This window comes from Homo sapiens, chromosome 6 (assembly GCF_000001405.40).
Source record: "Homo sapiens chromosome 6, GRCh38.p14 Primary Assembly".
In the NCBI taxonomy this organism is placed as follows: Eukaryota; Metazoa; Chordata; class Mammalia; order Primates; family Hominidae; genus Homo; species Homo sapiens.
In genome coordinates this window covers 17,923,695-17,937,772 of record NC_000006.12, presented here as the reverse complement: position 1 = coordinate 17,937,772, position 14,078 = coordinate 17,923,695, and the positions used below count along the sequence as shown (strand labels likewise).

The 14,078-nt window shown below is 40.6% G+C and overlaps 1 protein-coding gene across 4 annotated transcripts in view, besides 1 other annotated feature; it reads left to right on the top strand.

Annotated features, from left to right (window-relative positions):
- The window catches only part of KIF13A (kinesin family member 13A), a 228,510-nt gene that overhangs the window by 49,863 nt on the left and 164,569 nt on the right, over nt 1–14,078 (top strand). The window lies entirely within an intron of this gene.
- Nucleotides 3,418–3,602: a silencer, noted in NCBI's record as "fragment chr6:17934402-17934586 (GRCh37/hg19 assembly coordinates)". NCBI's record gives its function as "represses an EF-1alpha promoter that drives an FKBP-Casp9 reporter gene in an ReSE screen in K562 erythroleukemia cells {active_cell/tissue: K562}" and the evidence as "EXISTENCE:reporter gene assay evidence [ECO:0000049][PMID:32094911]".

Below are 14,078 nucleotides of genomic sequence, written 5' to 3'. Positions count from 1 at the left end.
GTCTCAAAAAAACAAAAAAAAAAAAACAAAAAAGGAAAGAAATTAGCTGGGCATGGTGGCTTGCACCTGTGGTCCCAGTCTAGGTTCTTGTACATTCTTATATTGGACAATAATAGTTGGATGAATAGTGATGCTTGAGATGCAGATTCCCATCTATAAAACTATAATTTCACTTAGCAAAGACCTCAAATAAATCACTTCAATGCTGTATTTTAAAAGTACCTTTGCTTCCCATTACTACATGAAGAGACTTCTGTAACTTTTTCCAGACGACACAATTAGATTTACTGTGTCTTCAGGACTGTGGAGGAAGTTATTGCAAGTTTTACTCAGACAGTTACAAAAATAAACATATGTAAGGTCGAAGGACTAAAACAATTGGAGATCACTGCCGAGATCAATGCAACCTCAGGAGTTTAATCTATATTGAGGGTGTGCTTTCTCTTGAATTTAGGACCAACTAGCAATAACAAATATTGGAGTTACCAGAGACTTCCAATGGTCTGTTGGTTGCTGTTCTCCACTTGAAAGGGTTGGTTGGTTACTCCCGACTCCAGACTTCCTTTCCATTTATGTATGTATGTGTATATATGTATAGACAGGGTCTCACTATGTCGCCCAGGCTAGAGTGCAGTGACTGCGGTTGAGCTCACTGCAGCCTCAACTTCCCCAGGCTCAGGTGATCCTTCCACATCAGTCTGCAAGTAGCTGAGACTACAGGCACACACCACCACACCAAGCAAATTTTTGTATTTTTTGTGGAGACAGGATTTTGCCAACTTGCCCAGGCTAGTCTGGACCTTCTGGGCTCAAGGGATCTGCCCACCTTGGCCTCCCAAAGTGCTGGGATTATAGGTGTGAGCCACCATGCCCAATCTCCTTTTCCTTTGCCCTAACAAACATTCTGGTTGTTGCTACTCATTTTTTTTTCAAAGGAATGCAAACACACTTAAATGTAACACATAAATCTGCTTTATAGAAATTTCATCATTCATTACATTTTTTTGAATGTTTGTATTATTCGTTAATATTACTTGTGAATACAGTTAGTTGCATTACTGACTTTTATGATGTTTGTTAACTTGTCTGAACCTCATCTATGACCTAGGGCAATAATAGCCACATTATAGGATTACTGTGATTAAATGAAACAATATGTGTAAAATGCTTGGCACCAGCCTGGCACATAATACCTGCAAACTCTCTCTGCCTCCATTTTCTTCTTAAACATTTGCTTGGGACTGTGAAACATACAGTGGGGCACTTGCACATGTGTGTGTGTGAGAGAGATAGAGGGGGAGTGAGAGAGACAGAAAGAGAGATCTTATTAAAATTAGTGGCAATGGGCCAGGTGCAATGGCTCATCCCTGTAATCCCAGCACTTTGGGAGGCCAAGGTGGGCAGATCACCAGCCTGGCCACCATGGTGAAACCCCATCTCTACTAAAAATACAAAAAAAATTAGCCAGGTGTGGTGGCACATATGTGCAATCCCAGCTACTCGGGAGGCTGAGGTGGGATCACTTGAATCCGGGAGGCGGAGGTTGCAGTGAGCCAAGATCCCACCATTGCACTCCCAGTTTGGGTGGAAGAGTAAGACACCGTCTCAAAAAATAAAAATAAAGTTAGGGGCAATGAAGAGAGGCTCAGCCCTCTCCCTGGATGAATTGTTCTGATAATGTCAAATTAACCTGGACTTTGACATAAGTAATATGAAGTTACTTTTAATCATTCATATGTGTTTGAGTTGGTCAGTGTGGGCTTTTTTCTCATTAGCAGAAATGTCTGTCTTTTCGTTAAGAAAAAAAACCTCTGTGCACAGTCAGCATAAGATGAAAGGAGCTATAGTTTAAAGAGAGGAAATATGGCTTTAAGATCTCTTCAAAGCCAATCAAACCATCAGATTTTATCTTAACTCAAGAATCTGGTTGGAAATGAATAATTTTATCTTTTTAAGAGCTTCATTTGTACTAATCAATGTAGTGTACATCAACTTTTGAGTTTTGAAAGTAACTAGCTTTTTGTTATATACTTGTAAAAATTGAAGTGGATAAACATTTTTGTTCACAAGGGTACAGTTTTATGAGACTGTCAAGGGTAGTTCCTCCTTTTCAGTTACGGAGAGAGAGCTACATTTTATGAGAGAATTTAAATTCCCCCTCCTTTTTATGGGAAATTGGTGCTTAGAGGTTCGTGGATCTGTTGGGGCAGTGGTTTTCAACACTGGCTACATGTTAGAGTCACTTGGTTGCTTGTAGAAAAATAGTTTGCACAGCCCCAGCCCCAGAACTGAGCTTCTGATCACTTGGCACAGACAAGAGAGCGCAGGATGTGTCGTTTTTCTCTGAACTGAGCCACTCCAACAGGTGGGGGCCAGGTAGGGACCATAGTGAGGACCCAGCTGCCTGCTGAGCTGAGCCAGGTCTCTGTGGTGCTGAATTTTCCTCTCTGATCCCATGGGGGCTCAGCAGAAATAGCTCAGGGCTTGAGCCTTAAACTGCCTATCCTTAGTAGGAATTATTCTTTGCCAAGGACAGTGTTTCTTCCAAGTCTGATTGTGACATTTATTCAGGACAGCTATAGAAAGCACAGATAAGAAAAAAATATTTCCAATCCCACTCATGAGAGAGAGAACCATTTTGGCCTTTTAGTATTCCTCCCCCTCCCCAGGTAAATGGTGAAAATAACACAACTAGCCAAAAATAAGCTTTTGTTATTAAATATTTATTTTGGGCCAACAAGTGAAGTTGCTGTTGCCCTTAGCGTGGTGGGAAGCCTGGAGCACAGGTGTAAAGGAACTTGCTTCAGGTATTGCAGTAATAAATCAATACAGGATCTGCCTCACTGCAAGGTAAAGGGACCCTTGTGAAACTGATATGTTTGGTTATTACTAGTGAAAATTGAGTCACATTTTACATTAGATGGTGGCCATATTTATGACAAACAGCACAAGAGTATTATTTTTAAGTGTCTTTTTTTTTTTTTTGGAGACAGGGTATTGCTTGGTTGCCCAGGCTGGAGTCAGTGGTGCAGTCATGGCTCACCACAGCCTCTACCTCCTGGGCTCAAGCGATCCTCCCACCTCGGCCTCCCAAGTAGGTGAGACCACAGGGATGTGCCACCATGCCCTGCTAATTTTTAATATTTTTGTAGAGACAGGGTTTCCCTATGTTGCCCAGGCTGGTCTCGAATTTCTGGGCTCAAGTGATCCTCTCTGCCTCTGTCTCCCAGAGTTTTGGGATTACAGGCATGACCCACGGTGCCTGGCCTTCGGCGTCTTTTTATTATGATATTATTGGGGATTCTGTATTTATGATTTTAGAATACTACCTGCTGGAATATTTCATTTGGCTTTTTAGCTTTGGGAGCATGTAGCATAGGGAGAGTTGAAAGTTCCTAATTAGGAATGGGATGGTGTTCAGCCGCTCTCGTCTGCACTTAAGCAACTGGTGTAGGTTTCTTTTCTTGCCTACCTGCAAGTGCACGCTACAAGCCGGGCCCTCTGCTCTGACCTCACACAGGTCACTTAAGAATTTGAAGAAGGCCAATGTCCTGTGGCCATTAGACAGTAGTGTGAGAGATGGAAAGAGGTGCCTTTTGTAATTACGAAGAAACTGTGTCCTGGTTTTTATGAAAATGCTTGTCTTTTTATTCTTTTCAACTTAAATGTTTACTTTTTCGCATTCTTCAAAAAAAAATAAAAGTTGACCCTAACGACACAATTTAGATTGAATTGAGTTATAAAAGGCAGCTTTCTTTATCTGTGAGAGAAAATATAACTTGAAATCCTATGTTTCCATAGTTACATTGCATTGTAATAAGATAAAAGCAGGACTAAGGGATATGTTTGAAAGGCGCTCCAGGAGCTGGCTGAGATAAATGTGATTATTAAGCCACTGTGCCAGGCTTTGGTGGGGAGCTAGGCAGGCAGGTCGAACTAGTTGAAATTTCCCATTAGAAGAAAGGCATTTCTAATGCTTTGTGTTGAAGGTAAAAGTGAACCACAGAAACACACTATTGCTTCTGCATTGGAAGTTTATATTTCACTCATACTTAGAATCAGAACTTGTTAAAGTAGTTGCTTTTGGAACTGTACATAATATTTTTCCCGTGTCAGGAAATCAATAAACTTAAAAAAAAATCTAAATTGTTGGTTTGATCATTCTGATTTCTACTCCTTCTTATGTCCCATTTAGTTAATTATTTTCTTTATTCAAAGAATACTGGAAGGCCAAAACATTGTGGCCCACACCTATAATCCCAGCACTTTGGGAGGCCAAGGCAGAAGGATCACTTGAGTCCAGGAGTTTGAGACCAGCCTGGGCAACATAGTGAGACCTTGTCTCTACAAAAAAAAAAAAAAAAAAAATGAGCTGGGTGTGGTGGTGCGTGCCAGCTACTTGGGAGGCTGAGGCAGGAGTATCACTTGAGCTCAGGAGGTTGAGGCTACAGGGAGCTCAGGAGGTTTCTAACAAAGAAAGATGCAGTTGGTATGCACTCTTTCTTGGTTAAGAGGAGAGATTGCCAACCAGTACATCTTTTATAGGTGCTGTAAAATCATGTTATACCTGCACTTTCTTGGGTTTCCTTTGTTCCCATCACTTGACAACTCTTAAATTCATGTTCTCCAGCCATTCTTTTCATTATTAATAGAAGAGAAACTGGGCCCAGGAAGGTTCAAGGATATGGCCGAGGTCACAGAGCCTTTCTCTTCTTTTAAAGAAACAATGATACACTTTAGATATTCTTATCTTACTGTGAATTAATTTTTTTTTCTAATTAAGCTTTTTGGGTGACCTTGAGCAAATGAAAAGCTTGACTTTTTCCTCTGCTTTACCGTATTGTGATTTCCTTGGGGTTGGCAGAGATTTGGAAAGGGATGTATTCCAGAACTGGAAAAATAATTTGGCCAAATTAAGCAAAATCTCCATGGGATGTTGGTGCCACTTACCCCAGTTTTTTTTTTTTTTCTTTCCATTCTCACAGACTTCCTCCTCGCTTCAACCCTCTCTCTGCTATCTGAGTCAAGGCCTCTGGCCTGCATACAAGCTGTAGGAGCTTGCATAGCGTTTCTGGAATCTGTACAGTAGTGCTGTGCTGTGGTGGGGTGGGGAGAAGGCAAATACAAGGGTGTTGAGGTGACAGTTCCGGTGTGTCAGATTGGTGGGTCAGAGAACTGTTTGCTCAGTGCCAGAATGTTGGAAAACAAAAGCAAGTTTCTAAGTAACCCCAAAATAGATTCACAGGCAGGATCAAGAAGCTAATGCAGATGTTCCTTATTTTTTAGAAAGAAGATCTAAAAGCCTTATGCAACTATGCAGAATTTCTAAAATGGATTTCATAAGGTCGCAACGTTACTAAATGACTTGTTTATTCAGCCAGCAATGCTTTAGTCTGGCTGACTCTTGGTGTTTAATTGCATTAGTTCTATGAAGCATTTTGTGATGTTGTTCACCGATGTACAAGGCATTCGGGCATACAATACAGTATTTATGCAATATTTAGGTGATTTTCAAAATATAAGCCTGGTGCCAAATATGGATGTAAAATTTTAAACAGTATGTCTACCATAACCCCATTTGGGAGGGGAAAAGTTATGTGTGTGTATCTGTGTGTGTGTCTAGCATGTGTCGGTGGTTCTCAAACTTTGACATACATCGGAGTCACCTGGAGGGCTTATTAAAACACAGATTGCTGTGTCTTCCCCTAGAGTTTCTTATTCAGTAGGTCTGCAGTGGGGCTCAAGCATTTGCTTTTCCAGTGAGTTTCCAGGTGATGCTGATGCTGTTAGTCTGGGGACCACAGTTTGGGAACCATTGTGGGGAACAGAAGCATAGAAACAAATCTAGAAGGAAAATTTACCATTATTGTTTAACAATAGTTATCTTATGTCTGGATAATGGGATTACTGGGGCTCTTTATTTTTCTTTTATACTTTCTGCATTTTTTTCCCATTATCATTAGAAGAAATCGCATTTAAAAGTTTTTCTGAGGCTCTAATACCTACGCTGTCATGAACACACAGTTGTTACTGTCTTCTATTGTCCAGTCTTACAATGTTGTCATTTATGACCACAGAGCTTCATGGAACCAGGTGAGGTGGTGCATGCCTGAAGTCCCACTTACCAGGGAGGCTGAAGTAGGAAGATCACTTGAGTCCAGGAGTTTGAGACCAGCCTAGGCAACATAGCAGGATCCTATTTCTAAGAAAAAGTTTAAAAATAAATAAGAACAAAGCATCAAGAATGCAATATTTTGTGTCCCTGGTTTTTATTTTGCCTTCCCAACATGTGAGTTTTTAGGGTACCTTTATCACTTCTTATTTTACTACATGGTGCTAAACACATGGTAAGTGTTCAATAGGTACTCAATAGCCCCATTAGTTAGAATTGATTCTTTTATGCCACATCACTTCTCTTAAGACTCCATGGAATACTATTTCATGAGTGCAAATTGTGTTTGATATCCATTTGAAAGAGGAAGATCTCATCAAAATCTGAAAGAACAGTAAAGAATTTGTATAAGGTAGCAAAATAAGACAAAGCTAAAGTGATAATCCAGCTCTCGTGACCTTAGAATAAACTGGTCAACCAAGAACAAAACTCTAGCACTAGAAATAGCACTTTATTATGTGAAAGCTCTCACAGTTTGGCCTTTAACATTTTAGGAATAATAAGTGTGTAACATCACACATAAAAAACAAAGCCTTAAGAATGTGGTGTTTTCCCATGAAAGAACAGCAAGGATATTATGCATATATGTGTGTTTCATTGATATTTTAGGAAGGCCCTTTGTTAATCAAAAATGAACCTGCCGGATGTTGATTAGTGGAGAAAACACTTAGAATACAGAGAACAATTTTTAAGCCTGAGTCTACCAAATTCTAGGCAAGTTCCTTAACCCCTTGTGTAAACCGTATTCTGTAAATGGGAACATTGGTCTGTAAACAGTTTGGATTTTCACAATGATCAAGTGAACTCATGCTTGAGAAAGCCTGTTAGAAGCGTGTTAAAATCCTCTGAACTCCAGGGTAGTGGTAGTGAGATCACCACTGTCCCTTTTCTTTTCCCAGCCCTGTGGTCTATTGTGGAAACTTACTTAACTCCCTGGATTTTCTGTCCCAGGGAAGGTTATGGCAAAGTGTGGCAAATCCAGGTTCTTCTAGTCTACCTTCCATCCTGCCCAGCTAATTTGGCAGTACCACTCAGCCTTTGTATGAACTCTGAGGTCAGGCAACTTTAGCAAATGCAAGATAGCTTCTGAATGCTGTTTTTCCTGATAACGTAAGTTCCTTTCCTATTACCCTGTTTCCAGGAAATTAAAATAATTACTGTCTCTGTGGAAATGCATGAATCCGTTATTTTAAAAAATGATTTATCACCTGAGGAATTTGTTACTTCTTGTTCAGTGCCTGTATTAGGAAGCTAAGGAATTAGGCATTTGTGAGCTCTCCCTTATACATTCTCATGGTGCTTCACAATGCCCGCTAAGCTGGTACTTCTTTCATCTCCTTCCTAAGTAAATACTCCCAAATGGTTTAATGTATATTGATGAAAGTTTCAAAATAAATTGTGCTTCTTTTTTTTCCAGGAAAGGGGTAATGTTGTTCTCCTTTCTAGTTTCCGTAGCACTTGGCCAAGTTTTGTCACCTGTTAAGTCCTTTTATCCTTCAGAGAGCAAAAGGATAATACACTTCACAAATGATATCTTTTTAAGCATTGCAGGCAGACTGTAGCCCCATTTTTAGTCCTGTTTGTTTGACTTAAGGTTCAGTGAGTCTTGTGTAACAGTTGCCCTTCTTGTCAGCTGTCTTTCAACTGTGCCGTTGACTGTTGTCTGGTTGTGGGATTAGTGCCATCATGAAGACTGGCTAATGTGTTTGCATGTAGTGCCTCATTCCTGCTACAGGAGGAGGTCAGAAAGGTAAAACCAGGCCAGGTGTGGTGGCTCACGCCTATAACCCCAACACTTTGGGAGGCTGAGGCAGGAGAATCACTTGAGGTCGGGTTTGAGATCAGCCTGGGCAACATAGTGAGACCCTGTCTTCCCTCCCACCAAAAATAGTTGAGAGTGCGGCCGGGCGCGGTGGCTCACGCCTGTAATCCCAGCACTTTGGGAGGCCAAGGCGGGCAGATCATGAGGTCAGGAGGTCGAGACCATGCTGGCTAACACGGTGAAACCCCGTCTCTACTAAAAATACAAAAAATTAGCCGGGCATGGTGGCGGGCGCCTGTAGTCCCAGCTACTTGGGAGGCTGAGGCAGGAGAATGCCGTGAACCCGGGAGGCAGAGCTTGCAGTGAGCCAAGATCGTGCCACTGCACTCCAGCCTGGCCAACAGAGCGAGACTCTGTCTCAAAAAAAAAAAAAATAGTCGAGAGTGCTGCACACACCTCTAGTCCTAGCTGTTTGGGAGACTGAAGCTAGAGCATTGTTTGAGCCCAGAAATTCAAAGCTGCAATGAGCTATGATGGCGCCACTGCATTCTAGCCTTGCCTTGGTGACAGAGTGAGACCCTGCCCTCCCCATGCGCCCCCCACCTTGTCTCTCTCTCTCTGTCTCTCTCACACACACACATAGGTAAAGCCAGGTGATAAGAATTTCGTTTTTAGCCTAAAATATGCTTTACAAAGCAGGTAGTGATTTAACAAATTGTGAGAATCCTGTACCTTTTTCTCAAAGAGCTCCTTTGTTTTTTTTTTTTTTTTTTTTTTTTGAGAAATTCTTTTCTTTTGAGTTATTGCTGTGGCATGAGCTCATTCTGGAATGCTCACATGATCAAATTGTTTGTAATCTTGTGTTTAGCTTTTAGGTTATTTATAGTGTCTATGATCTTACATTAAATTCTTTCCATTATATAATGGAAATATACATTTCCATTATGTACCAGTCTTTCTTTCTAAGTTCAGGTTTAAATGATTCATGTGACCAAAGGTATTCTGAAGTTGAAGTTTAGGACTTTATGTGACCTCTATTATGTGTTTTCTGTGAACATCTTTTTAACCATCATAATTTTTTGCATGGTTATATTCTGATGACATTTAACACATGTGACCTTACTTGAAGCAGGGAAATACAGTTTCTTACTTTGTGGTGTTCTAATGGTAAACTATCTTGGACAGCATGATACAGAGCAGCAAAGAGAAGGTATTTATAGTGAGGCATTTGACTGCTTTGTAGTCTCCTTGTAGCATAATAGATACAGCAGAATAAAGTGAACTCCGGATTTCCTTTTCCCTCAATCCCTTTGCAGCACTTTGGTCCATGAAGTAGAACCCATTGTGGCTCCTCTGCCCTTTGGTGGTGGCCTCTGATGTGGCTAGCACCTGGTATTCCCAGGTTCTGTAGCTGTCTGGATCCACTGACACCACCACCTTAGGGCTCTGAGAGTGTCTAGATTCTCTCATGTTACTGATTCCAACTGGTGTGGAAAGGTTTCCTTGAACTTCATCTGAGACAGGTTTGGAGTACTTTGAACATTTTAGAAAATAAACCCCAAAAATATGTTCACACAAAACACCTACGCTATAGAGAAGCATGCACATGAGGGGTAGTCATTTTGGTTCATGAAACTGTACTGTGCAAAGTCTGATGAAGATGGGATGAGTTGGCCCAGGTGACTAGCTTCACAGACTTCAGTTTATTTTTCCATACTTAAACCAGCCTGGGAAGTAGATACCTAAATTTCTGCAGGAGGTCTTCAGCTTTCATATATTGCATTTTCTCGCAGCCTGTGTGATTTTGCACAGTATACAGGACAGAAAGATTCTAGACTGCCTTTCTCTTGCTGAAGCCTGTCTTTCACATATCAGCTGGCTGATGACTGTGAGTGGTCAGGGTGTTGTTGCTGTCTGCTGGTGCCAGCCTCTGGAGTGTAGGGGGTGCTGCTCTGGTGCTGCACGGGCTCACGCCAAGAGGCCTGCCAGGTGGAAGTTGCTTGTTTATTCCAAGAGTCTTCTTGCCTGGACCAGCCTCCCATATCCTCACCATCCCATTGCCTCTGAGAGAAATCTCACTCTTTTTCTCTGTCTCAGTACCTAGCAATTATGGAGGTGGGAAATTAATTGTACTCTGATTCATATTTTTATTGTGGCAAAATATACTTAAAATTGATCATTTTAGCCGTTTAAAAGTGTACAATTCAGTGGTATCAAATACATTCACAGTGTTATGCAGCCATCACCACTATTCATTTTCAGAACTTCTTCATCATCCCAAACAGAAAGTCTATACCCATTAAATAACTCCTTATTTTCTGTCCCCCACCCCCAACCAAGCCCCTGGGAACTGCTCTTCTACTTTCTGTCTCTATGAATTTAACTACTCTGGGTACCTCATGTAAGTAGAATCATACAGTGTTTATCCTTTTGTGTCTGTCTTATTTCACTTAGCATAATGTTCATCCATGTTGTAGCATGTATCAGACTTCCCTTCCTATTTATGGCTGAATAATATTCCATTGTAGTATATACCCCATTTTGTTTATTAATTTGTCCACTGATGGACACTTGGGTTGTTTCCACCTTTTGACTGTTGTCAGTAATCCTGCTATGAATACTGGTATGCAAATATCTGTTCAAGTTCCTGCATTCACTTTTTATCTGTTTAAGTTCCTGCATTCACTTTTTTTTTTTTTTGAGACAGAGTCTTGCTCTGTTGCCCAGTCTGGAGGGCATGGTGTGATCTCAGCTCACTGCAACCCCTGTCTCCTGGGTTCAAGCAATTCTTGCATCTCAGCCCCCTGAGTAGCGGGGACTGCAGTCACATGCACCACCACACCTGGCTAATTTTTGTATTTTTAGTAGAGATGAGGTTTCACCATGTTGGCGCAGCTGGTCTCGAACTCCTGATCTGAAGTGATCTGCCTGCCTCGACCTCCCAAAGTGCCGAGATTACAGGTATGAGCCACCGCGCCCAGTCCCTGCTTTCTCTTCTTTTGGGTATATTCCCAGAAGTGGAATTGTTGGATTCTGATTACATTTTAAGGAACTACTTTCAGATAGTAGCTACAAGTTGTTTATCATCTGAATATATCCTAATATACTTAAACATTCTCCACTTATTACACTCTGAGATTATAAGTAATTTTTACGTCAAAGAAAATTTCAGTCTCCTTCTTATTAGTCCGATGCTTTTCCAGTGAGTATATAATTGGGGATGCCTTCTAGCCGAGAAGCAGCTGGTGAAACTTTGTTCTAAATATCAGAAAAACCTCCTACATGTGTTTTAAAGAAACGTACCAGGGGCCAGGCATGGTGGCTCACACCTGTAATACCAGCACTTTGGGAGGCCGAGGCAGGCAGATCACTTGAGGCTGGAGTTCAAGACCAGCCTGGCCAACATGGCAAAACACCATCTCTACTAAAAATACAAAAATTAGCCGGGTGTGGTGGTGCGTGCCTGTTATCCCAGCTACTCGGGAGACTGAGGCACGAGAATCACTTGAACCCAGGAGACAGAAGGTTGCAGTGAGCCAAGATTGTGCCACTGCATTCCAGTCTGGGTGACAGAGTGAGACTCTGCCTCAAAAAAATAAAGAAATGCACCAGGAGACAGATAAATTTAGGAATTCGTGGAAGTTTACAAGAACTGAATGTTGGTCACTCTATATATTAATACAAGATAAGCAATGCATTTCTTTTCAGAATTAGTAGGACCGTGGACATGATGACTACTTTAATTATATGTCTGGTTCTGACATCTTCATTATAAGATGAGCATTTTACATAAGAGCATCATAGATACAGCTGCCTCTTCTGGTGCTGTGGGCACAGCAGATTCTCTTTAAGAGTTGGGTTAGGGGCAGGTTAGTAGTAACTGACATATTTAGTAATTGTAGCTATTTATACTGCTAACTAAATTTTCCTTCTGATTTGCTGCTCTCCTAGCCAAGTATCCTCTTCATTAATAACTAATTTCCAGAGCTAACTGACATTTTAGTGTCCTTACTCCTGAAAAACCCTTCCAACAGATAACACTGTTTGCCTTCGTCATTACTCTGGTAGCCCCCCAATTCTCACAGAATAACTGCTGCTAATTAGACATGTTCTTTATTAAGTGTTGAGGTGATAAACTTTGTTTAAATGCAGTGCACATACACTGAAGCACATACTGTTGATTATCAGCTCCTGCCCACGGACTGTTGTTTGTGTTCTCTCCCAGTAAAGTGTCCAGGAAATCTTTTGCTTTCTCTTGTGAGTTGTCTGCTAGATTTGTGCCTTCAAAGTGATGATGGAGAAACCATGTGTGTTTACTCCACACAAGACAGTGAATAATCTCACACAGGTCCCTAGCTTGAAGTGTCATCTTTATTTTGACCTCATATTGCCTTTCTCATTTAGATGTCTAATAAGCATCTCAAAGTTAGCATGTTTGAAACCAAATTCCTCATTTCCTCCACCAAATCAGCTCTTCCCACAGCCTCTCATTTCAGTCAAAGGCAACCCTATTCTTCCTCCCGCTCAAGCGAAAAACTTTGTTCTCAATGATTCCTCTCTCACCTGCACACCTCAGATCAACTCATCAGCAAATCTCTTTGCTCTAACTTCAGAATACATCCCAAAGAAGACTATTTCCTAACATCTTCGTCTCCAGGCATGCGCTTGCCTCAGTGTTTCTGCACTTGTCTGTCCCTCCGCTTGGATATTATTCTCCCAGATAATCTGATGGATACACTGGAAGCATTTGTTGATATATTTTTTTCTCTTTTGGGGGAGCGTGTTTAGAGGAAGAAGGGAATTTAATTTGATTCAGACATGAAGCTTGTATATAAAGATACTAAATTTTCTTAGGACTATATCCATCTGTCTCCTGTCTTTTTAGATATTGCCCATCATATGGTGTGGGGAAATCAGTTAACCTAAGCGTTGTAGCAATTTGTTGCTGTCACTTCTGAATCAGCTAAGTTTTCATTTCATACCCAGCTATGATCACTAATAAAAGAAAATATTGTGCATGGAATGTAAAAATAATTATCTCAGTATGTTTCCATCTACATCTGGAAGACTTTGCTTCTTAGCAGCCTTCTTTTAACTTTCGTTTTTCTCTGTCTTGCCCCTTCTCATCCACTTCTCGGCTTATCATGCCGTCCTTCCTATAACTCTTTGTCCTTGTTCTGTTGCATTTGTAAGGAAGAATTGGGCAAAAAAAGAATATTTAGTGCAATATAAATGTAAGCTTTAAGAGGTGCTTCCCCCAGTAGAAGTTTTGTTTTTTGCTTATAGACATTTCATTTTTCCTGCGAGTCCTATTAGTTGAGTGACTAAAAAATCTGCAGTTTACTTATAGAAGCACTTTTATTGATTAATTCAAAGAGAAGCTTTTACATCAGAAAAAAAGGGACATCAAACACACTAATACATTGAACTTTTAAGTAACAACATTGAGAGTATCATTGGGCCCATAGCAATTTAACTTATTTCAAGTCCACGACTAGAGATTGTTCAGAAAAATCCCTAAAATGTCTATTGTCACCAGCTCTAACTAGTATTGTAATTAGTGTCAGGAAAATATTGCAGATCAAGTATGGGTCCTGCTGGAATCTGTGTAAGTGGCTTTTTTGAGCACGTGAACAAATGGTTTCTGAAATACATGCTTAGAAATATCATCTCTGCTCAGATATCTCACAGTTTTAACATATATTTATTCAGTGATCCTGATAATTTTTTTAAAGTTTTAAAAATAATTTTAAAATTCTAGAGTCTTGTACATATGTATTTTTAACCTGTGAACATGTTATATGAGAGTCATATCTTAAAGTAAAAGATTTTTTAGCTCTTCCATGTGTCGGATATTGAAGTGGGTGCTGAAGATACAACAGGATTGAGGACTGGGCCTGACCTGAGAGGGCTGATCATGTAAATACTGGTTATTATTCTCCTGGGCTGCTAAGCTAGTTGAATCTTAGGGAAAGGTTTTTAAGAGTTGTGCCCTCACTGACATCTGAGATAAGAAATGAAGATGTCTAGTATATTCTTAGCTCAGACACTGGTGAAAAGGTGATTGAAGACTTAGAGGAAATTGAGAAAGGGCTAAAAAGCTTTTATGTGATTCTTGGCATGCAGCTCGTGAAAGATTTTGGT